We start from the raw sequence: 24516 nt of genomic DNA on the forward strand, positions 1-24516 counted from the left end.
CATTGGAAGAAACTGGATGATGAGATTAATTGCTGACTGAGGTTATTATCACTGGATTCATGTTTCCCATGTTCTCTCCAGCCTTTCTCCCCTTTGAAGGAGGGGAGACAACTTAGATAACTGAAAGTGGAGTATATTTTTGTGACCTCTAGGGAAGAGGAGAAAGGAAGGGACATGGAAGAGAGAAGATATGATTAAGCCAATGTAAACATTGTTAAAAAATTTATTTGCAATTTTTTTTGTTCATTTGTTAAGTAACATCATTCCTTAAATATAAAAGCAATCTTACAGGATTATGCAATAGTGTCTCACACAGAAATGACTCCAAAGCTCTCCTGGAAAGGTTGCCCCTTCTGGATTTCATGACCTTTCTTAAGGGTAAGAAGACACTGCCAAAGAGGCCTCTGACCACAGGATCATTTGATCATTACTAACTGTGCAGGAATATTTACAACAGTAAGACTGTGAAGTTGTGGCGTCTAGAGGGGAAGGGGCAGAAGTGTGCAGAGGTGTGGGGAATGGTGACAATGGAGGCACTGCCCATCTTCCCATGACTCTCTGAAACAGGCATGATGCAGATTGGTTTAGGGGCATGAAGGTGGGTCTGAGCAGGAGGACATGAGGAGAGGAGGGATGGCAGAATTTTATCTGGAGCCTTTCACATGGAAGGAAGTTTTGTGTGGTAGCTCTGGTGTATTAAAATAAAACATCAATTGTATGAGTGTAATAGACATTCTAGTTCTTCAGCAGCTGGGGATCTGTCACCTTATTTCCTAATGAATTCATGTGTTTTTCCGTAAGTTGTTTTCACCTGCTACCATTACAGACTGGTCCAGACCTGCTTATCCTTTTGTTTCCCACAGCCTATTTCAGTGCAAGGCCTTATTTCCATGAGACTCTGGGAGAACAGCATGCATTCTGGGCAGGGTGGGACACAGTGAAGGGATGGAAGGTGGTCTGGCTGGGAAGTCAAGAGATGGATTCCAGGTTTGAGGATAGATTGCAGCTGGATGCATTGATGGCATAAGGCCAGAAAGTAGAAGGTGCTCACTGTGTTTGGGTCACAGGGGATGCCTTCTGAAGGAGCCCTCTGCACAGGACTGTGTTAACAAATCATCTGCCCTTGATGCTCAAGTTTGTTCCTCCAACCTAGAAACTTTTAAACACTGGTGTAGTTTCTCCATGTTGGGAAGGCTTAGGGGTTGGGAACTTGGCACAGGACCCAGTTACTCATCCTCTTTTATGCCTCTTGGGATTCTACAGAAAAGCATTTTCTGCTCTCTTCTCTTGGCTAAGGGCTCAGGAGAATTTCCTCAAGGTGTCTTGAAACCTGCACTCTCCAGTTCCTTGGCAAGCAAACAACAGCTTACCCTACTGCCTACTTGCCTCTTTTTCCTTTTCCCCTTGGTAATAAATTTGAGGGATCTAAGAATGCCAGAACAGGAATTCTCCAGGCCCAGTAAATAAGAACCATTCTGTCAATTTCTATATTTTCTTATATAGAAATCATACTCTTTTAACATCTACAACCTCTTCTACCAGGAGCTGTCTCTGATAATCACCTTGGTTCAAGGAGCATGAGTGATTTTTAGATGGTGAACGTTCAGTCAATGTATGATTTATGCCAGGAGAAGTGGGATAGTACCCTTTTTGGAAGGGCTACAAAGCCAAATTATTTACATTCTGAAAATGGGGATGCATGAGAGGACCCACAAAGAGGACGTTCACCTATGAATCAGCCAGTATCTGATCTAACAGCTCTGGTTACATAACATTCTGGTTACATAACATTTCAAGCTTTTGGTTACAAAACATTTCGAGCTTTTCTTTAATTACTTAGTCTTTGTCTTGTCTTTCTTATTGTTAGTACAGACATAAGAGAATTTCCACGGAAAATCCCACTTCAGACTCTACTCCTTGTTGAACTGATTTGTTATTCTTAATATATTTATTCAGCTGCAATCCCTAGTGTCCTTCCAGAGACTGATTAAAAGGCTTTTCTAATATACCAGAAAGACTAAGGGTCTTTACCACTTCGTGTGCTATTACTCAAATTTCTTAAAATCATCTGAGGAAAAGTTAATGATTTTAGGAGGAGTAGTATTTTTTCAATGTAGATAAATAATATTTATTTCATAATAATAAATGATTCTGATGGCACTATTTCCACCCACAGAAGTCATTCTGGTTCTGTCTCCATGTCTATATACACAATGATCGCCCTTCTGGGAGGAGGAAAAGTTCCTTATGGAGAGCTCAACCCCAGCCCTTGAACCTTAAGGGTGTGTATATTCTGAGGTCTTCGAGCATCTCCCCAATAATGTGGAGATCTAGCAGAAACCCATTTACCTGCTGTAATGCTATCTGGCTCCACAAAGCAACATTTCATTGCTTTGCAATAAAAAATTAATTAAAATAAAACCATAGGTGGATTCACAAAGAAACTGTGTAAGCATCTGTAAATATAGGTTAATTTTTGAATTATAAGTAATATATTAAACCACTATTTCTAGTTTCATTAACTTTATGTATTAAGTAAGATCCCCACAATATTAAGTAAGAAAATTACTGACTCTCGACTTCTCACTACCTGTTCTCTTGTTTCTCTTCTCCATGTCTGTCCGCTATGCCATTATCTCTACCCTCATGAGAGTAGTACAAGTGCTCAGAATAAGAACTAAACTCCCAGGCTTCATGTATACCAACAAAAGAGGTCATGAGGGATCCCAAAGCACTCCAACACCCACTTTCTCTGACCTGCTTTCTCCCACCAAGAAGTGTCAAAGGAGAACCCTATGTTTTCAGAGTAAAATGCCATCTCCTCCATGAGGGGATAAAAGTGATGCCAAGGTACTAAGTCCATAGCCATGTCTCTCTGGGCCTATGATGCTCCATTGAGGGAGTTCAAGTGGGTGAATTGTCCACAAAGCAAGACTCAGCTTTCTCAGATCACCTCAAATCTATCAATAGGGATGATGAATGGGCCTCAGGAGCTTGAGTAAGTTTTTGCTTATTCAGTTTTGCTCCACGACAAGAGGTCATCAGGGAGCCCAGTCACCACCTCGCCTAATTTTGACACTCACTGTTTCACCAACACTATCTGCCTTGAATCCGTAAGAACTAACCTCATTATGTCCTCTGCCCCCATTTATGTCAGTCACCTAAATAGCCACAGAATTCCAAACTATCTCTCATTCCCCTTCTTCTAATTTCCATAAGTCTAACTTCCATATATATCCTATTTGCTTCTTTTTAGCTCAGATTCCAGTTCAGAAATGAGCATTCTCTTCACCATCGCACACTCAGCAAAATCTGATTCCCCTGAAACCTTCTCATGCAGTGGCTGTTTACTTTTTCTTGCTGCTCTGTGAATATAGGTAAGTCTCTTCTCCTTGTTTTAGTTTCCAGGCCATTCTCCTCACTTCCTCCCACCACAAAGGAAGTGGCTCCAAATTTCATGTCATCAGATCTTAATACGATATCTCACTGCTGCAGTCATACCTACATCAAAGTTAAACTCCCCCTTTCCAATGATTTTAGTTCCTCTCTCTTGTTTCAAAGCCAGTCTTGGTTTGAACCTTGGTTATTTTTTATATGCCCAGAGTTGAAGTCTCAAACTTCATGAAACTGAAACTTAACTTTTCATCCTTCCCCCTAAACCTGTTCTATACAGCCTTTCTCTTCTCATTTGCTTTCTTTTTTCATATGATGCATCTGATCATTTAGGAAATCATATTAACCTGTAAAGCATCTGTACAAAGTCCTTCAGTTAACTGGCCTGCTTTCTGTCCAGCTACCAACTCACACTTTGAACTGGCAACTCAGTTTCACACTTCCATTCCAGGCTCCTTCTAGGTATATTCTGTATTTCAGCTTCCTCCACTCTGTTGTATCCCTGCAGACACTCTCACTCCATTTATAGTACACATAAATAACCATAGTGTATTGACACCCACTTCTCCCACCCTTCCTTACTCCATTCTCTTCATCCATTAGGGATTTATGTCATTCTTATATATTGACTGTCATTTCAACAGGAAGGAGAGTAAGGAGTAGACAAACAGGTATTTGTCTGTTCATTCTATTCTCTTTTACCAGAAGCCCTATATTAATCAATAAGTCCTCTTCTATGTCTAAAATCCTTCAATTTTTAATTTTATCCATAATTTACAAAATAATAATATAAGTAGATTTAGCTTTTAATATGTACCTTAGCCTTTACTAACCTCTGTTTCATAACAGAAGCTATTGTCTAAGATTATTTTGGGAAAATTAGTGTTTGTGTTCTACCTTAGGACACAATGGGTGATATAAACATCGGTCTAAAGAGTCCTGAATCTTAGAAAGTGGTTCTTTGACAATATCTGACATTACAAACAGCCTTTAAGAACTGGAGTTTTTATAATATTGTCCTTTCATCCTTTGATTCAGACACTTGTTTGTAAGAAAAACTTTAGTCACTGGATTTGAATTACTGAAAAAAAATCCAACAATCTTTGCCTCATGATGTTTAATAACCTGCTTAAGTTTGTCAGTATTCTGTACAAATTGAGCAAATGTATGAGTAATAAAGAAAAGAAAAAATTGAAAGTAGGAGGGTATATTTATGAGTAATCTATTATATAGGAGTCATGCCTAGAATGAATAAGAAGAGTTAAAGAACGATTCCTAAATAGAATAAGAAGATGTAGGCTTCTCTCACATGGAAGCGATAAACTTGAATAAAATATTTAAATCTTCACATAACAGAATGAGAATTTAGGCATCTGAATAATTCCAATATCAAAGAACAAATTTAGTGGAATTAAATAGGTTTTCATAACAGAAAATTTTTAGAAGTATTAGTAGAAGGAGATGTAGGAAGTACACCCTTACTTCGATGAATTAAGGGAAATTGCTGTTTCAACATAAAAATAAAGCTGGCTCTAAGAATCTTCTTTAGGGGGCTGTTATTGATGTCCCTCCTAGGAAAACTCAAGTGTCACTGATACCTTAGAAATATCATTAGTGAACATTTTATTATTTTGAGTTAAGAGGTTTTTTAGGTTCTTAAAGACAAGAAAAAGTTATCTATTATATCTCTACTGATTTTTAAAACAATTAAGTTGTACAGCATGTTCTCTAATTCTGAAAAAAGTAATATAATAGGACAATTACAATTTAGTTTTCAATTCATCATCTTTCAAAACCGTGGACTTTTGGTATATATCTTTGCACTCATTTTCCTTCCCTTTGACTTTTGTCTCTATAAGCTCTGTTCCTGAAGAGGCATTTTCACCAGGTAGATGACACTTCCTCAAAAGAATTAAGATGATTAAGGCTGGAACAAAGCTTGATCCTCTTAGTGCTGCCGGCAATCCGAGGTAGATGTATCTATTTTTTTAAAAGTTAAAACATATTAAATATTACATAGTGTGGTTAGTGCAAACTAAATTTGTATATCTTTGTATTTTATTCTGATAAAAACAGCAGCTGATGGTTTTGCATGCTGATCTTATATAAGCAACTTTGCTAAACTCTCTTATTAATTTCAGTATTTGTTAAAATATTTTATGTTTTTTTAATTTTCCCACTGAGAAAATCCAAATTTATTTTCATCTTTTCTAATGTTTTATTATTGTTGTTATAACTAACTAGTTTTTCATTGAGTAGGATCTTCACCTCAAAATGAATACTGGTAGTGATAGCAGTTTTATTCTAGTATTTAGTAAGAATGCTTCCAAAGAATCATCATGAATTATAATATATACTCTTGTGAGAGTTTCTTTAGATGACCTTGATCAGATTAAGGAAGTTATTTTCTATTGTGAGCTTGCTCAAAGTTTTAATCATGAATGTGCATAATATAACCAAATAACTTTTCTGCTTGTAGTCGGAAGAATATGCAAAGTTTTCTACCTTTATTGTGTTAATAGCATCTATTACACCAATAGATTTTCTGATATTGACCTATCCTTGCATGCTTAAAATAAACTGTAATTTTTATACATTACTAGATTCAATTTATCAATTTTTATGTAGAATTTTTGCATGTATAAGATTAGCCTACAAATTTTTTTCTTGTACTGAACTTGTCCAGTGTGATTATTAAGATAGTACTAGCTTTGTGAAATGAATTACAAAATTTTCCCTTTTTCTGTTTCTGAGAATAACTTGCATAATTTACAAATGAATCATTGGTTCATTGTAGGTTTTTTCAGACTTTCCTGAAAAATATCTGAACTTGGTACCTTGGGAGATGAGCACTTTTGAAAGTTTTACATTTTTAAGTAACTATAAAAATATTCATGTTTCTATAGATTTATAATAAAATCTGGTAATATATAATTAATTGTCTAGAAAAATATCTATTTAATATGTTTCTAAATTGTTATATCTAAAATCCCTATGTAAGTGTTATAATATCTGTACTTATATTAGCTTTTTCATCCTTAATGATGTTTTATTTGTGCCTCCTCTCTTTATTTGCCTTTCCACAGTATTGTTATTAGTAATATCTTTGCACCTTTACAAAAACATAGCTCTTTACTTTCTTATTCCCTCTATGGTATATAGTCTATTTATTAATTTCTTCATCTATTTTTATCTTTCTACTTCTAAAATTTTCTTTTATTATGAAACAGTACTAGGATTCAGAAAAAAATGGACACCAGTGATTGGATTTAAGCCTATGGTAATCCAGTATAACCACATTTAACTTAACTACTCTACTTGTAAATGCTCTATTTGCAAATAAGGTCACATTGTGAAGTTCTGAGTGAATATCACATTTTGAGGAACACTAAATCCTGTAAAAGGTGTTTTACCTCATTAATTGGATTAAAGCATTGAATCTGAATTTAGTCGCTTGACTTAGAAGTACCTTATTCTTCCTTGGAAGCTGATATCAGAAACCACTGCTCATTTTGAGACATAGAGCCTGTGAATTCAGCTTTGTTTACTCCTTTATGTTTCTGTTTAATTTCTGAAAAACCAGATGTTTAGGATGATATTTATATTGTCTTTTAATCAAGAAAAGTCCCTTTTGAATTTTAAAAATATATTGTTTCAATTATTCTTATTTGAGATAGGAAATATATCAATATGTAAATTTTTGAGTCATTTATCAGGTCGTTCTATGTCATTTGTACATATTTCATTGTTCTTTTTCTAAATTCTGAGTTCATTAATTTTCAGCCTTTTATGTGTAAATGTATATATGTATATATTTTTATACATATTATGTTTTAAATGTATAAATATATACATCTTTATATACATATGTGTATATAAACATATATACCTATGTGTATATAAACATATATACCTATGTGTATATACATGTGAATATATGTTGCATATGTATATTTACATATGTAATATAGCTATACATATGTAAATATACATTTATATACATATGTAAATAAATATGTATATATGTACTTATATGTATATATTATATACATATTTATATACATATATTTGTACATATGCAAATATATACATATGTGTATATATATTTATACATTTAAAGCTCTAAAAATCCCTTTGATTACTGGTTGGCTTAGCTTCATCCCACAAGTTTTCTTATTCAGTGCTTTCATTGACATACAGTTCTAATTATTTATGTTTACTATAATTTATTCTTTTAACCATGAGTAATTTAAGACTGCATTCTTTTCCACTTTTCAAACATTTGGGGTTTGGGAATTTTTTATTATAGACTTTCATCTCCATTGCATTGTGAACAGAAAACAGGATTTATGTGGTATCAATACTTTTTTTTAACTTTTTAGTGGCATAGGTGCTCGTATTTTGGTTAACAATTATCCATGTATTCATGTAGAAATAGATATAGATGTATTATAGATTCATACAGATTATATATGTTTATACAGAATATACATTTATCTGTATATTCAATTACTCTTGTACAATTTGAAGTTGAAATATTCTATATTATCACTCATTTTTGTCTGTATTTAATATTCATTTGTGGGACAAGTATATTGAAATTTTCCATTCTGTAGATTTATTCTTATAATTTTATAAATTTTTGTTTTGTATATTTGAGGTTATGTTGATAGATTTACATAGCTTCATAATTTTTCTATATTTTTATAGTGTTTTCCTTTTATTATTAAGTAATATCTCTGGTTAACCCTATTAATTTTTTCCCTTTAACTTACTTATATTTTGTTGAAATCATTAATATAACTACAGAAGTTGATTTAGTATGTGTCTGGTAGATCTTTTCAAAACCTTATCTTCAATCATTTTATATTTTTGATCTATCTATCTCTTACAAACAACATTTAGTTCAAATTTTGAAAAGTCCAATATAAAAATTACTATCTTTTAACCAGCAAGTTTAACCAATTTGCAAAACCACTTAGGCTTATTTTTTAACTTATTTGTGTGGGGTTTTTTCTTATGAATTACCACTACTGCATTTTCTCCCCTTCTATTGGTTGGAATAAATCTAATTAATCATTTTCACATTTTTAGGAAAATGTAAAGGTAATCAGAAGTTTGTTCTCAAGAACTGTAAAAGAGTCTAAGATTTTACTTCATTTGTAAGCTAACAGGCTAGCCTGCCACAGTTTCAAGGATGCTAACAGAAGATACAAGACTCATAGGTCAGGGACAAAGGACTTTTTTTACTCACAACACAGCAGTCAGCACAAGCTTCATGTTCAAGTTGATTTTCCTTACCCTCCAAGTCCCAAAGTGGTGAGACAGAGGGAGAACCCAGGTAAACATTGTACACACAGTGAATTTGGGCTGCAGTTAGAAAGTCCTGAGTTTAGGAAATCCCAATCTTTCTTTTAAATGGGCTTCAAAAAAATCTGCCCAAACTTTGCCCCAAAGGGAGACATTTTCTTATCATCATGGACAACAAGCTACCTGCCCTCTGTCCTTGAGAGAGACACTATTTATATCTTCCAAGGTCATTTACTGTTCCAACATCCTTGAAAATATAGTCCAGAAAAAATGCTCTCAGTGTCCCTGCTAACAAGAAAAGCAGAAATGTAGGGATCCATGGAGAATTGTCTACCAACAATATTTACCCTTATTTCTAGAATATCTTGGCTTCTGGTAGATTTTTCTCATGGATACACCATTTCATTGACCAGTCTAATTGGTCTGACTAACAGAGAATGGAGCCAAGTCCGTTTAATGTGTCTTAAGCACCATTTAATTCAGGAGACTATCAACAAGAATCCAAGTAGCAGGATGAGGCCAACCCTCAATAGTGACCCTTGGGGTTCCTCAACTGTGGTAGAAATCCACCGCATACATAGCATGTAGCTGAGCTTCCCTCAGCATCACTCCTGGGGAGCTCTGGGGGAAAGGGGAATAGATGCAGAGATGAATCTCCTGCGTCTGCTCTCCCCATACTTCTTGATATGTGTCCTTTTGCTGATCAAGACCAATATCTTAGAATGCTTTAAACAATGGTAAATTGTTTTATATTGAATGAAGTAGCTTTATTATTGCCCCATCAAGAGAAGTTAATTCAAATTTAAACAAAACTCAAATTTCCGAATGAAAAAGAACATGAAAATAGAAATAACAAAGAGTTTTATTCAAAATTAGATTTGTATTTACCAAAGAGAAGGCATTAGGAGACATGAAGAAGATTGTTTCAGCAAAATGTAAAGAGGGAGAAAATATATGATTTTGGAGACCAGAGACTGGTGGTGAGAGGAAGTGAGGCTTCAGACTCGTGAGATGATGAAATCATGCAGGATAAAATGAGAGCCTTTAGAGAGCAATATAAATTGGATAGGTATCAGTGTACAACCATTACCTTCAATATTGTGTTGACTGCTAAGAATTTAACGAACAACACTTTGAAAGCCAAGGTTAGGGAAGCCATGTATGCTTATATTTACCAAGCACTTGAGAAATAATGGGAAAATACAATTCTAGTATGCAAATAAGGAATGGAGATATAACATCAGTATCTCTGCTGGAAATAACCACAAAAGTATTCTTTTCACTTGACAAAGAAAAAGTTACGTGTGAATGGTGCTGCGTTATGCACAGTCTATGCTTATAAAACAATTTTAAACAAATTATTATCTTTACCTGAAGGTGGTGGAATCATATATCCTGCATGCCCCTGACTCACCACATTTCAAAGTTCCCCAGTGTAAACATGTGGAATCCATTAAAGCGCCAAAATATATAGGTGCAGGAATGCCAGCTACAATTGACAGGGAAAGAAAAATCTATCAACAAGAATTAAGATACTTGATTTATTTGGAAATATTTCAATTTTCTTTATTTGTACGGCAAAGTTTATCAAAACATAAATCTAATGGTCTAAATTTTATTTTTAGAAATGATGAGTTACTTTTACTGTAAAGTTTCTAAATTATTAAAAGATAAGTAATCTTATGGTCAAATGCAACATAATTATTAGTAGAGTAAAACATTGAATTAAAGATTCTGAACTTTATATATTTTCTTAAATGTTTTGGGCCAGTTATATGTACATTTTATTTGGGCAGAGCATTTTCTTTCATTTTATTTTCAAATCTTCAAACAAAGAATAGTGTAATTAAGGTCAGACAGGGCCTTTTCAAGTAAAAGAGATTCTCTATCTCTTTGTGTGCTGCATTCTCATATTTATAACGTGCTTTTTACATACAGAAGGGACATTTGCTAGACTGCTTTTCTGAAATAATATTACCTTGTTTATCTAGTATTTAATATTGTTCTGCACATGGACACAGGAAGGGGAACATCACACACCAGGGCCTGTTGTGGGGTGGGGGAAGGGGGGAGGGATAGCATTAGGAGATTCACCTAATGTTAAATGATGAGTTAATGGGTGCAGCACACCAACATGGCACATGTATACATATGTAACAAACCTGCACGTTGTGCACATGTACCCTAAAACTTAAAGTGTAATAAAAAATAATAATAATAATATTGTTCTGATAGGATGTGGGAAAAAATAACTATTTTTACCAAATACTCTTGTGCAAAATGTATGTAATCCCACACCAAGGGACTTCTCTTCAGATTTCATACACCTGAAAAGTAAATAAGTTTGTAAATAAAAGAAAAATAAAGATTTAAAACTATCATATTGTCTTGAAAAGGCCAGTTGTAAGCTAGTCACACATAATGAACATTCAAAATTTTACTTTCATGCTCACTTATTGGTTATTCAGGGCTTTATTATCCAGCTGGCAGCCTACACAGGAGCCCATTTCTGGTCACTGGCACTTTACTCATCACTTTTTCTTATTAATACCTATTTTATTGGTCAGGCGCAGTGGCTCACCCCTGTAATCCCAGCACACTGGGAGGCCAAGGCAGACGGATCACCTGAGGTCAGGAGCTCGAGACCAGCCTGGTCAACATGGTGAAACCCTGTCTCTACTAAAAATACAAAAAATTAGCTGGGTGTGGTGGTGGGTGCCTGTAATCCCAGCTACCTGGGAGGCTGAGGCAGGAGAATCACTTGAACCTGGGAGGCAGAGGTTGCAATGAGCTGAAATTGCGCCACTGCACTCCAGCCTGGGTGATAGAGCTACACTCCATCTCAAAAAAAAAAAATTGTTTTTAATAACACAGAAACTAGATACACTAAAAATCTGCAGTAAGAATAACAATAAATAAATTTTATATAGTTCTTACTAAGATTAGAAAAGAACAAGAATACTCACTATCACAACTACAGTTAAATAAATCTTGGAGGTTTTAATTTATGCTATAAGAGAATTTTAGAAGTCTCAGATGTGTAAGGTTTGGAAGTGAAAAGACAAAACTTGTCATATTTGCACATTGAAAAACCTACATAGAAAACCTAACAAAATCAACAAATTATGAGAACAAATAAGAAAGGATGCTGTATAAAAAGTAAATTTTTAAAAACAGCAGCATTCCTCTAAACCAGCAATAACCAACTAGAAAATATAAGAGAACAGTACCACACATATACATATATACCTATCTCTACTTATGCGTAGAGATGATAGAGATAAATATGGACACACACACACACACACACACACACACACACACACAGACCTATCTGTCCAAAATAGTGCAATAATTTATAAGGGAGGGGTAGAGCAAGGAGCTAAATAGAAGTCTCCACCAATCATCCCTCCTGAAGGAACACCAAATTTAACAACTATCTACATACAAAAAAAAACCAAAAAAAACCTTTGTAAGAATGAAAAATCAGGTGAGCACTCACAATACCTGGTTTTAACTTCATATCACAGAAAGAGGCACTGAAGAGAGCAGGAAAAATGGTCTTGAATTGCCAACACCAGCCCTCCCATCCCCCAGCAGTGGCCACATGGCATGGAGAAGGAATCTGAGCACTTGGGAGAGGGAGAATGCAGTGATTCTGAGACTTTATTAAATCCTGTGCTGCCCTGTCACAGTGGAAAGCAAAACCAAGCTAAACTCAGCTGATTCTTACCCATGGAGGGAGCATTTAGACTAGCTATCACCAGAAAGTAATCACCCAGCCCCACAGTTAGAACTTGAGTTCCAGCAAGCCTCGCCACCATGGGCAAACGTGCTCTCCCTAAATAAACTTGAAAGGCAGTCTAGGTTGCAAGGACTACAACTCCTAGGCAAGTTCTAGTGCTGAGCTGGGCTCAGAGCCAATGGACTTGGGAGTCACTTCCCTACTGAGACACCAGCCAGGGAAGCTAAGGAAGTGCTTGTGCCACCCTTCACCCAAGCCCAGGCAGCACAGCTTGTGGCTCCAAAAGAGATTCCTTCCTTCTACTTGAGGAGAGGGGAGAAATGAGTAAAGAGGACTTTGTCTTGCATCTGTGATACCAGCTCAGCCACAGTAGGATAGGGCACTGGTAAGGGTCATGAGGTGCCCATTCCAGGCCCTAGCTCCTGGCTGGCATTTCTAGACATACCCTGGATCAGAAGGGAACCTGCTGTCTTGAAGAGAAGGACTCAGTACTGGCAGGATACATCACATGCTGGCTAAAGAGCCCTTGGGGCCTGAATAACCAACAGCTATACGCAGGTAGTATGTTATGGGCCCCAGGTGAGACTCAGGTGTGCTGTATTGAGATGAGACTCAGCACATTCAGAGCTGTGGCAGCTGTGGTGAGAGACTCTCTGTTTGAGAAAAGCACAGGCACAGGAAGCAAAGGGAATTCTGTCTTGCATCTTAGGTAACAGCTCAGCCACAATGGGGTAGAGCAGCGGTTCCCAAACATTTTGCACCAGGGACTGGTTTCATGGAACACAATTTTTCCACTGACCAGGCAGGAGTTGGGGATGATTTTGGATGAAAATATTCCACCTCAGATCATCAGGCATTAGTTAGATTCCCATAAGGAGTGAGCAGCCTAGATCCCTCACATGTGCAGTTCACAATAGGGTTCACGCTCCTATGAGAATCTAATGCTACAGCTGATCTGACAGGAGGCAGAACTCAGGGGGTAATGCTCGCTGCTCCCTCCTGCTGTGAGGCCAGATTCCTACCAGGCCAGGGTCTGGTAATATTCTGTGGCCCAGTGTGGGTAGGGACCCCAGGGGTAGAGCACCAAGCATGTTTTTGCAGTTCCAGATTCTGGGCCTTGGGTCTTGGATGGCATTTCTGAACCTGCCCTCCTGGGCCAGAGGAGAGCTAACTGCCCTGAAGGGTGAGTCCTGGCGTAGCAGCATTCACACAGGCTGGCTAAAGAACTCTTGTGCCTTAAGTAAACGTCAGTGGTGGCCTGGCAGTATTCCCTGTGGGCCTGTGGTGGTGGTGGTGGCCATGGGGTGGGGCTCCTCTGACTTTGGAAAGGGGAGAGAAGAGTAAAAAGGTGTTTCTCATAGTCTGAGTGCCACCTCAGCCACACTAGCATAGAGCATAAGGTAGATTTGTATGATTTTTTACCCATCCCAGGCTCCTGGATGGCATCTCTGGACCTTCCTGGGGACTGGGAAAACTCACAGCTCTGAAGGGAAAGACAAAAACATGGCTGGATTACCACTGGATGATTGTAGAGTTGGGTCTTGAACAAACATAGGTGGCAGCCAGGTAGAGGTAACAGTGGGCCTTGGGTGAGACTAGTGCTGTGCTGGATTCCAATCTAACCCAGCACAGTCCCAGTGGTGGTGGCCACAGGGGTGCATCACCCTACCCCCACTTCTGGGCAACTTAGCACAGAGAGACTCCACTTGTTTGGAAGAAATTAAGGCAAAAGAACAAGAATCTCTGCCTGGTAATCCAGAGAATTCTTTTGGATCTTATCCAAGACCTCCAAAGTGGTAACTCTGTGAGTCTACATGAACCACAGCATTATTGGGCTTGCGGGCCCAAGTCCTTTTGAATACCTGGAAAGCCTGCTCAAGAAGGATGGCACAAACAAACCCAGACTGTGAAGACTACAATAAATGCCTAACTCTTCAATGCCCAGACATCAACAAACATTGACAAGCATAAAGAACATACAGGAAAACATGACCTCACCAAAGGAACTAAACAAGGCAGCAGGGACCAATCCTGGAGAAAGAGAGATATGTGACTTTTCAGATGGAGAATTCAAAATGGCTATTTTGAGGAAACTCAAAGAAATTCAAGATAATACAGAGAAAAAATGCAGAACACTATTAGATGAATTTTACAAAGAGGTTGACATAAATAAAAAGAATCAAGCAGAAATTCTACAGTTAAAAAAATGCAATGACATACTAAAGAATGCCTCAGAATCTCTTAATAGCAGAATTTATCAAGCAGAAGAGAGATTTAGTGAGCTTGAAGATAGGCTGTTTGAAAATACACAGTAAGGGATACAAAAGAAAAAAAGAATAAAAAAAAGTGAAGTGCACCTACACGATCTACAAAATAGTCTCTAAAGGGCAAATCTAAGAGCTATTTGCCTTAAAGAAAAGGTAGAGAAAGAGATAAGAGTAGAAAGATTATTCAAAGGGATAATAGCAGAGAACTTCCCAAACCTAGAGAAAGGTATTGATTCCAAGTGCAAGAAGGTTATAGAATACCAAGCAGATTTAACCCAAAGATTACCTCAAGGAATTCAATAAACCCCGCAAGGTCATGTATAAATAAACAATTCTAAAAGCAGCAAGAGAAACGAAGTGACTAACATACAATGGAGCGCCAATACAACTGGCAGCAGACTTTTCGGTGGAAACCTTACAGGCCAAGAGAGAGTGGCATGACATACTTAAAGTGCTGAAGGAAAAAAACTTTTACCTTTATATCTGGTGAAAATATCCTCCAAACATAAAGAAGAAATAAAGATTTTCCCAGACAAGCAAACACTGAGGGATTTCATCAATACCAGCCCATGCTATAAGAAATGCTAAAGGGAGTACTTCAATCAGAAAGGAAAGGATGTTGATGAGCAATGAGAATTCATCTGAAGGTACAAAGATCACTGGAAATAGTAAGTAAGCAAAAAAATGCAGAATATTATAACACTGTAACTGTGATGTATAAACTACTCTTAACTAGGAAGACTAAAAGATGAACCAATCAAAAATATTAACAACTTTTCAAGACACAGACAGTAAAATAAAATGGAAATAGAAATAACAAAATGTTAAAAATTAGGAGGACAAAGTTAAAATGTAGAGTTTTTTTTTTAGTTTTCTTTTTGCTTATTAGTTTCTTTATGCAAGCAATTTTAACATATTATCACCTAAAAAAATGGGCTATAAGATAGCATTTGCAAGCCTCATGGTAACCTCAAATCAAAAAACATACAATGGATACACAAAAAATAAAAAAGCAAGAAATTAAAGCATACCACTAGAGATAATCACCTTCACTGAAAGGAAGAAAAAAAGGAAGAGAAAACCAGAAAACAAATAACAAAATGGCAGCAGTAAGACCTTTCTTACGAATAAGATTATTTAATGTAAATAGACTAAGCTCTCCAATACAATGACATAAAGTAGCTGAATGGATTTAAAAAAATACCCAATAATCTGTTGTCTACTAGAAACATATGTCACTCATAAAGACAGACACAGAAAATAAAGGGATGAAAAAGATATTCCATGCCAATAGAAACCAAAAAAGAGCAGGAGTAGCATTACTTATATCAGACAAAATAGATTTTAAGAAAAAAACTGTAAGAAGAGACGAAGAAGATCATTATATAAGGATAAAAGGATTAATTAAGCAAGAGGACATAAAAGTTATAAATATGTATTCACCCAACATTGAAGCACCCAGATATATAAAGCAAATATTATTATAGCTAAAGAGAGAGATAGAGCCTAATACAATAATAGCTGAAGAATTCACACCTCACTTTCAGCATTGGACAGATCTTCCAGACCAAAAAAAAAAATAAATAAATAAACAAAGAAACATTGGATTTCATCCAAATTATAAACCAAATGAACCTAATAAATACTTACAGAACATTTTATCCAATGGCTACAGAATACAAATATGAATCCAGCACATGGATCATTCTCAAGGATAGACCATATGTTAGCTCACAAACCAAGTCTTAAAACATCCAAAAAAAATTGAAATAATATCAAGTATCTTCTCTGACCATAAGGAAATAAAACTACAAATCAATAACAAGAGGAAATTTGAAAACTATACAAACACGTGGAAATTGAGCAATATGCTCCTGAATGACCAGTGGGTCAATGAGAAAATTAAGAAGAAAATTTAAAAATTTCTTAAAACAAATAATAACAGAAACACAACATACCAAAACTCATGGGATACAGTGAAAGCAGTACTAAGAAGGAAGTTTATAACTATAAATGCCTACATCAAAAAAGAAGAAAAACTTCAAATAAACAACCCAATGGGCCAGGCGTGGTGGCTCACACCTGTAATCCCAGCACTTTGGGAGGCTGAGGTGGGTGGATCACAAGGTCAGGAGATCAAGACCATCTTGGCCAACATGGTGAAATCCCGTCTCTACTAAAAATACAAAAATTAGCTGGGTGTGGTGGTGTGAGACTGTAGTCCCAACTTCTCAGGAGGCTGAGGCAGAAGAATTGCTTAAAACCAGGAGGCAGAGGTTGCAGTGAGCCAAGATCGCGCCACTGCACTCTAACTTGAGCGACAGAGTGAGACTCCGTCTCAAAAAAAAAAGAAAAGAAAAAAAACCAATAATGCATATTAAAGAATTAGAAAAGCAAGAGCAAACCAAACACAAAATTAGTAGAAGAAAAGAAATAATAAAGATCGGAGTAGAAATAAATGAAATTGAAATGAAGAAAACAATACAAAAGATCAACAAAACAAAAGAAATAGTTATTTGAAAAGAAAAACAAAACTGATGACCCTTTAGCCAAAATAACTAGGAAAAAAGAGAGAAGACTCAAATAAATAAAATCATATATGAAAAAGAAAACATTACAACTGATACCACAGACATCCAAAGGATTTTAAGACATTATTGTTAAACTATGTTAAACTCAAGGCTATTATGAACAACTATATGCCAATAACTTGGAAAACCTAGAAGAAATGGATGAAATCCTAGACACATACAACCCATCAAGATTAAACTATGAAGAAATCCAAAACCTGAACAGATCAATAAAAAGTAATGAGATTGAAGCTGTAATAAAGTCTCCAGCAAAGAAATGACCCAATGGCTTCACTGCCTAATTCTACCAAACATTTAAAAAGGAAATAATATCAATATACTCAAACTATTCTGAAAAACAGAAGAGGAGAGAAGCCTTCCAAACTCATTCTATGAGGCCAGTATTATCCTGATACCAAAACCAGAAAAAGACACATAAGAAAAAAAAAAAAAAGGAAAACTAAAGGCTAATATCACTGATGAATACTGATGCAAAAATCCTCAACAAAATACTATTAAACCAAATTCAACAACACATTAAGAAGATCATTCATCATGACCAAATGGGATTTATCCCAGAGATGCAAGAATAGTTCAACATATGCAAATCAATCTATATGATACATCATACCAAAAGAACAAACGAATAAAACCATATGATCATTTCAATTAATGTGGAAAAAACATTTGATAAGATTCAGCATCGCTTTATGGTAAAAAAAAAAACTCTCAAAAAACTGGGTATAAAAGGAACATGGCTCAACATAATAAAGGCCATATATGAGAGACCTATAGTAAGTATCATACTGAGTGGGGAAAAACTGAAAGCCCTTATTCTGTAATCTGGGACATAACAAGGATGCCCACTTTCACCATTGTTATTCAAGATACTGCTAGAAGTCTGAGCTAGAGCAATCAGACAAGAAATATAAACAAAGAGCATCCAAACTTGAAATTAAGAAGTCAAATTATCATTGTTCATAGATGATATGATCTTCTATTTTGAAAAGCCTAAAGACTCCACCAAAAAGCCATTCAAAATGATAAACAAATTCAGTAAAGTTGCAGGATACAAAATCAACATAAAAAATCAGTAGTGTTTGTATATGCCAACAGCAAACAGTCTAAAAAAAAGTAATTCTATTTACAATAGCTACAAATGCAATAAAATCACTAAGAATTACCCTAAAGAAGTGAAAGATCTCTACAATAAAAACTGTAAAACATTGGTGCAAGAAATTGAAGAGGATACAAATAAATGAAAATATATTATATGCTCATAAATTGAAAGAAACAATATTGCTAAAACCAAACAAAGGAATCTGCAATCTACAGATTTGATGCTATTTCTATCAATAAACCAATGACATTCCCCACAGAAATAGAAAAGGTAATCCTAATATGGAACCACAAAAGATCCAGGATAGCCAAAGTTATCCAAAGCAAAAAGAACAAAACTGGAGGAATCACATTACTTGACTTCAATTTATATCACAGACCTATAGTAACCAAAACAGCATGGTACTGGCATAAAAACAGACACATAGACCAATGGAGCAGAATAGAGAACTCTGAAAAAAAATCCATTCATCTATGGTGAACTCATTTTTGACAAAGATGCCAAGAATGTACATTGGGGAAAAGACAGTCTCTTCAATAAATGGTGCAGGGAAAATGGAATTTCCATAAGCAGAAGAGTGAAACTAGACCCATATTTCTTGCCATATTCAAAAATCAATCAAAATCGATGAAAGACTTAAATCTAAGACCTCCAACTAACAAACTACTGCAAGAAAACATTCAGGAAACTCTCCAGGACATTGGACTGAACAAAGATTTCTTGAGTAATACACCACAGGCACAGATAACTAATGAAAAAAAAATGGATAAATGGGATCACATCAAGTTAAGAAGCTTCTGCACAGCAAAGGAAACAACAAGATGAAGAGACAACTCACAGAATGAGAGAAATTATTTGCAAGCTACCCATCTGACAAGGGATTAATAACCAGAATATGTAAGGAGCTCAAACAACTCTATAGAAAAAAAATCTAATAATCCAATTAACAAATGAGCAAAATTTGAGACATTTCTCAGAAGAATAAATACAAATGGCAATTTTATGAAAAGGTGCTCAGCATCAATGATCAAGAGAGGAATGCAAATCAAAACTGCAATGAGATATCATCTCACCCCAGCTAAAATGACTTTTATACAAAAACAGGCAATAACAAATACTGGTGAGTATGTAGAGTAAAGGGAACCCTCCTACACTGTTGGTGGGAATGTAAATAAGTACAACTACTATGCAGAACAGTTTGGAGGTTCCTCAAAAAACTCAAAATAGAGCTACCATATGATCCAGCAATCCCACTTCTAGGTATTAATATATACCCAAAAGAAAGGAAGTCAGTGTATCGAAGAGATATCTGCACTCCCATGTTTATTGCAGCACTATTCACAATAGTCAAGATTTGGAAGCAACCTAAGTGTCCAGCAATAGATGAATGGATAAAGAAAATGTGGTACATATACAGGATGGAGTAATATTCAGCCATAAAAAAAAGAATGAGGGGGAGGAGCCAAGATGGCCAAATAGGAACAGCTCCGGTCCACAGCTCCCAGTGTGAGCGATGCAGAAGACGGGTGATTTCTGCATTTCCATCTGAGGTACCGGGTTTATCTCACTAGGGAGTGCCAGACAGTGGGCGCAGGCCAATACTGATGGGAGACTTTAACACCCCACTGTCAACATTAGACAGATCAATGAGACAGAAAGTTAACAAGGATACCCAGGAATTGAACTCAGCTCTGCACCAAGCGAACCTAATAGACATCTACAGAATTCTCCACCCCAAATCAACAGAATATACATTTTTTTCAGCACCACACCACACCTATTCCAAAATTGACCACATACTGGGAAGTAAAACTCTCCTCAGCAAATGTAAAAGAACAGAAATTATAACAAACTATCTCTCAGACCACAGTGCAATCAAACTAGAACTCAGGATTAAGAATCTCACTCAAAACCGCTCAACTACATGGAAACTGAACAACCTGCTCCTGAATGACTACTGGGTACATAACGAAATGAAGGCAGAAATAAAGATGTTCTTTGAAACCAACGAGAACAAAGACACAACATACCAGAATCTCTGGGACGCATTCAAAGCAGTGTGTAGAGGGAAATTTATAGCACTAAATGCCCACAAGAGAAAGCAGGAAAGATCCAAAATTGACACCCTAACATCACAATTAAAAGAACTAGAAAAGCAAGAGCAAACACATTCAAAAGCTAGCAGAAGGCAAGAAATAACTAAAATCAGAGCAGAACTGAAGGAAATAGAGACATAAAAAACCCTTCAAAAAATTAATGAATCCAGGAGCTGGTTTTTTGAAAGGATCAACAAAATTGATAGACCACTAGCAAGACTAATAAAGAAAAAAAGAGAGAAGAATCAAATAGACACAATAAAAAATGATAAAGGGGATATCACCACCGATCCCACAGAAATACAAACTACCATCAGAGAATACTACAAACACCTCTACACAAATAAAACTAGAAAATCTAGAAGAAATGGATACATTCCTTGACACATACACTCTCCCAAGACTAAACAAGGAAGAAGTTGAATCTCTGAATAGACCAATAACAGGAGCTGAAATTGTGGCAATAATCAATAGTTTACCAACAAAAAAGAGTCCAGGACCAGATGGATTCACAGCCGAATTCTACCAGAGGTACAAGGAGGAACTGGTACCATTCCTTCTGAAACTATTCCAATCAATAGAAAAAGAGGGAATCCTCCCTAACTCATTTTATGAGGCCAGCATCATTCTGATACCAAAGCCGGGCAGAGACACAACCAAAAAAGAGAATTTTAGACCAATATCCTTGATGAACATTGATGCAAAAATCCTCAATAAAATACTGGCAAACCGAATCCAGCAGCACATCAAAAAGCTTATCCACCATGATCAAGTGGGCTTCATCCCTGGGATGCAAGGCTGGTTCAATATACGCAAATCAATAAATGTAATCCAGCATATAAACAGAGCCAAAGACAAAAACCACATGATTATCTCAATAGATGCAGAAAAAGCCTTTGACAAAATGCACCAATCCTTCATGCTAAAAACTCTCAATAAATTAGGTATTGATGGGACGTATTTCAAAATAATAAGAGCTGTCTATGACAGACCCACAGCCAATATCATACTGAATGGGCAAAAACTGGAAGCATTCCCTTTGAAAACTGGCACAAGACAGGGATGCCCTCTCTCACCACTCCTATTCAATATAGTGTCGGAAGTTCTGGCCAGGGCAATCAGGCAGGAGAAGGAAATAAAAGGTATTCAATTAGGAAAAGAGGAAGTCAAATTGTCCCTGTTTGCAGATGACATGATTGTTTATCTAGAAAACCCCATTGTCTCAGCCCAAAATCTCCTTAAGCTGATAAGCAACTTCAGCAAAGTCTCAGGATACAAAATCAATGTACAAAAATCACAAGCATTCTTATACACCAACAACAGACAAACAGAGAGCCAAATCATGAGTGAACTCCCATTCACAATTGCTTCAAAGAGAATAAAATACCTAGGAATCCAACTTACAAGGGATGTGAAGGACCTCTTTGAGGAGAACTACAAACCACTGCTCAAGGAAATAAAAGAGGATACAAACAAATGGAAGAACATTCCATGCTCATGGGTAGGAAGAATCAATATCGTGAAAATGGCCATACTGCCCAAGGTAATTTACAGATTCAATGCCATCCCCATCAAGCTACCAATGACTTTCTTCACAGAATTGGAAAAAACTACTTTAAAGTTCATATGGAACCAAAAAAGAGCCCGCATCGCCAAGTCAATCCTAAGCCAAAAGAACAAAGCTGGAGGCATCACACTACCTGACTTCAAACTATACTACAAGGCTACAGTAACCAAAACAGCACGGTACTGGTACCAAAACAGAGATATAGATCAATGGAACAGAACAGAGCCCTCAGAAATAACGCCGCATACCTACAACTATCTGATCTTTGACAAACCTGAGAAAAACAAGCAATGGGGAAAGGATTCCCTATTTAATAAATGGTGCTGGGAAAACTGGCTAGCCATATGTAGAAAGCTGAAACTGGATCCCTTCCTTACACCTTATACAAAAATCAATTCAAGATGGATTAAAGATTTAAACATTAGACTTAAAACCATAAAAACCCTAGAAGAAAACCTAGGCATTACCATTCAGGACATAGGTGTGGGCAAGGACTTCATGTCCAAAACACCAAAAGCAATGGCAACAAAAGCCAAAATTGACAAATGGGATCTAATTAAACTAAAGAGCTTCTGCACAGCAAAAGAAACTACCATCAGAGTGAACAGGCAACCTACAAAATGGGAGAAAATTTTCACAACCTACTCATCTGACAAAGGGCTAATATCCAGAATCTACAATGAACTCAAACAAATTTACAAGAAAAAAACAAACAACCCCATCAAAAAGTGGGCAAAGGACATGAACAGACACTTCTCAAAAGAAGACATTTATGCAGCCAAAAAACACATGAAAAATTGCTCATCATCACTGGCCATCAGAGAAATGCAAATCAAAACCACTATGAGATATCATCTCACACCAGTTAGAATGGCAATCATTAAAAAGTCAGGAAACAACAGGTGCTGGAGAGGATGTGGAGAAATAGGAACACTTTTACACTGTTGGTGGGACTGTAAACTAGTTCAACCATTGTGGAAGTCAGTGTGGCGATTCCTCAGGGATCTAGAACTAGAAATACCATTTGACCCAGCCATCCCATTACTGGGTATATACCCAAACGACTATAAATCATGCTGCTATAAAGACACATGCACACGTATGTTTATTGCGGCTCTATTCACAATAGCAAAGACTTGGAACCAACCCAAATGTTCAACAATGATAGACTGGATTAAGAAAATGTGGCACATATACACCATGGAATACTATGCAGCCATAAAAAATGATGAGTTCATGTCCTTTGTAGGGACATGGATGAAACTGGAAACCATCATTCTCAGTAAACTATCGCAAGAACAAAAAACCAAACACCGCATATTCTCACTCATAGGTGGGAATTGAACAATGAGATCACATGGACACAGGAAGGGGAATATCACACTCTGGGGACTGTGGTGGGGTGGGGGGAGGGGGGAGGGATAGCATTGGGAGATATACCTAATGCTAGATGACGAGTTAGTGGGTGCAGCGCACCAGCATGGCACATGTATACATATGTAACTAACCTGCACAATGTGCACATGTACCCTAAAACTTAAAGTATAATAAAAAAAAAAAAAAAAAAAGAATGAGACCCTTTCATTTGCAACAACATGAATGGAACTGGAGGTCATAACGTTAAGTAAAGTAGGGCAGGCACCAAAAGACAAACTTTGCATGTCCTCACTTACTTGTGGGAGCTAAAAATGAGAACAGGCTGGGCACGATAGCTCATGCCTGTAATCCCAGCACTTTGGGAGGCCAAAGCAGATGGATCATCTGAGATCAGGACTTCAAGACCAGCCGGGCCAACATAATAAAACACTGTTTCTACTAAAAATACAAAAATTAGTGGGTGTGGTGGTGCATGCCTGTAGTCCCCGCTACTCAGGAGGCTGAAGCAGGAGGATCGCTTGAGCCAGGGAGGCGGAGGTTGCAGTGAGCCAAGATTGTGCCACTGCACTCCAGCCTGGACAACAGAATGAGACTCCATCTGAGAAAAAAAAGAAAAAATGAAAGCAATTGAACTCATGGAGATAGAGAGCAGAAGGGTTGTTACCAGAGGCTGGAAAGGGTAGCCTGGGTGTGGTGGGGAAGTAGAGATAGTTAATAGGTACGAAAAAATGGAAAGAATGAATTAAACCTACTATTTGATAGTGTATTAGAGTGACTATAGTGGAAAATAATTTACTCGTACATTTTAAAATAACTAAAAGAGTATAAATGAATTGCTTGTAACACAAAGGATAAATGCTTGAGGGAATGGATACCCCATCTACCCTAATATGGTTATTACACACTGCATGCCTGTATCAGAATATCTCACATAACCCATAAATATATACACCTACTATATACCCATAAAAATTTAAAATTAAAAAAACTATATTTATATATGATTAATTTTTTAAATCTAATTTTTACTTCTGATTTATTTTATGTATAATTTTAATTATATGCTATGTA

General features: G+C 36.4%; 1 protein-coding gene across 42 annotated transcripts in view; it reads right to left on the reverse strand.

Annotated features, from left to right (window-relative positions):
* Positions 1-205: 205 nt before the first annotated feature.
* The window catches only part of SLCO1A2 (solute carrier organic anion transporter family member 1A2), a 155035-nt gene continuing 130724 nt past the window's right edge, over positions 206-24516 (reverse strand). For 33 of the 42 annotated variants that reach the window (NM_001386881.1, XM_011520819.2, NM_001386878.1 and 30 more), the window contains 3 exons: positions 10966-11030; positions 10075-10192; positions 206-5373 (listed from right to left, as the gene is read on the reverse strand). In NM_001386881.1, the coding sequence (NP_001373810.1) occupies positions 5154-5373; positions 10075-10192; positions 10966-11030 (403 nt within the window). In that variant the 3' untranslated portion in view covers positions 206-5153. Of the gene's footprint in view, positions 5374-8886; positions 8992-9547; positions 10193-10965; positions 11031-23741; positions 24044-24516 lie in introns of those variants that run through there. The other 9 variants (NR_170341.1, NR_170340.1, NM_001386887.1 and 6 more) reach the window with 5 other exon arrangements.

This window comes from Homo sapiens, chromosome 12 (genome assembly GCF_000001405.40).
Source record: "Homo sapiens chromosome 12, GRCh38.p14 Primary Assembly".
Lineage (NCBI taxonomy): Eukaryota > Metazoa > Chordata > Mammalia > Primates > Hominidae > Homo > Homo sapiens.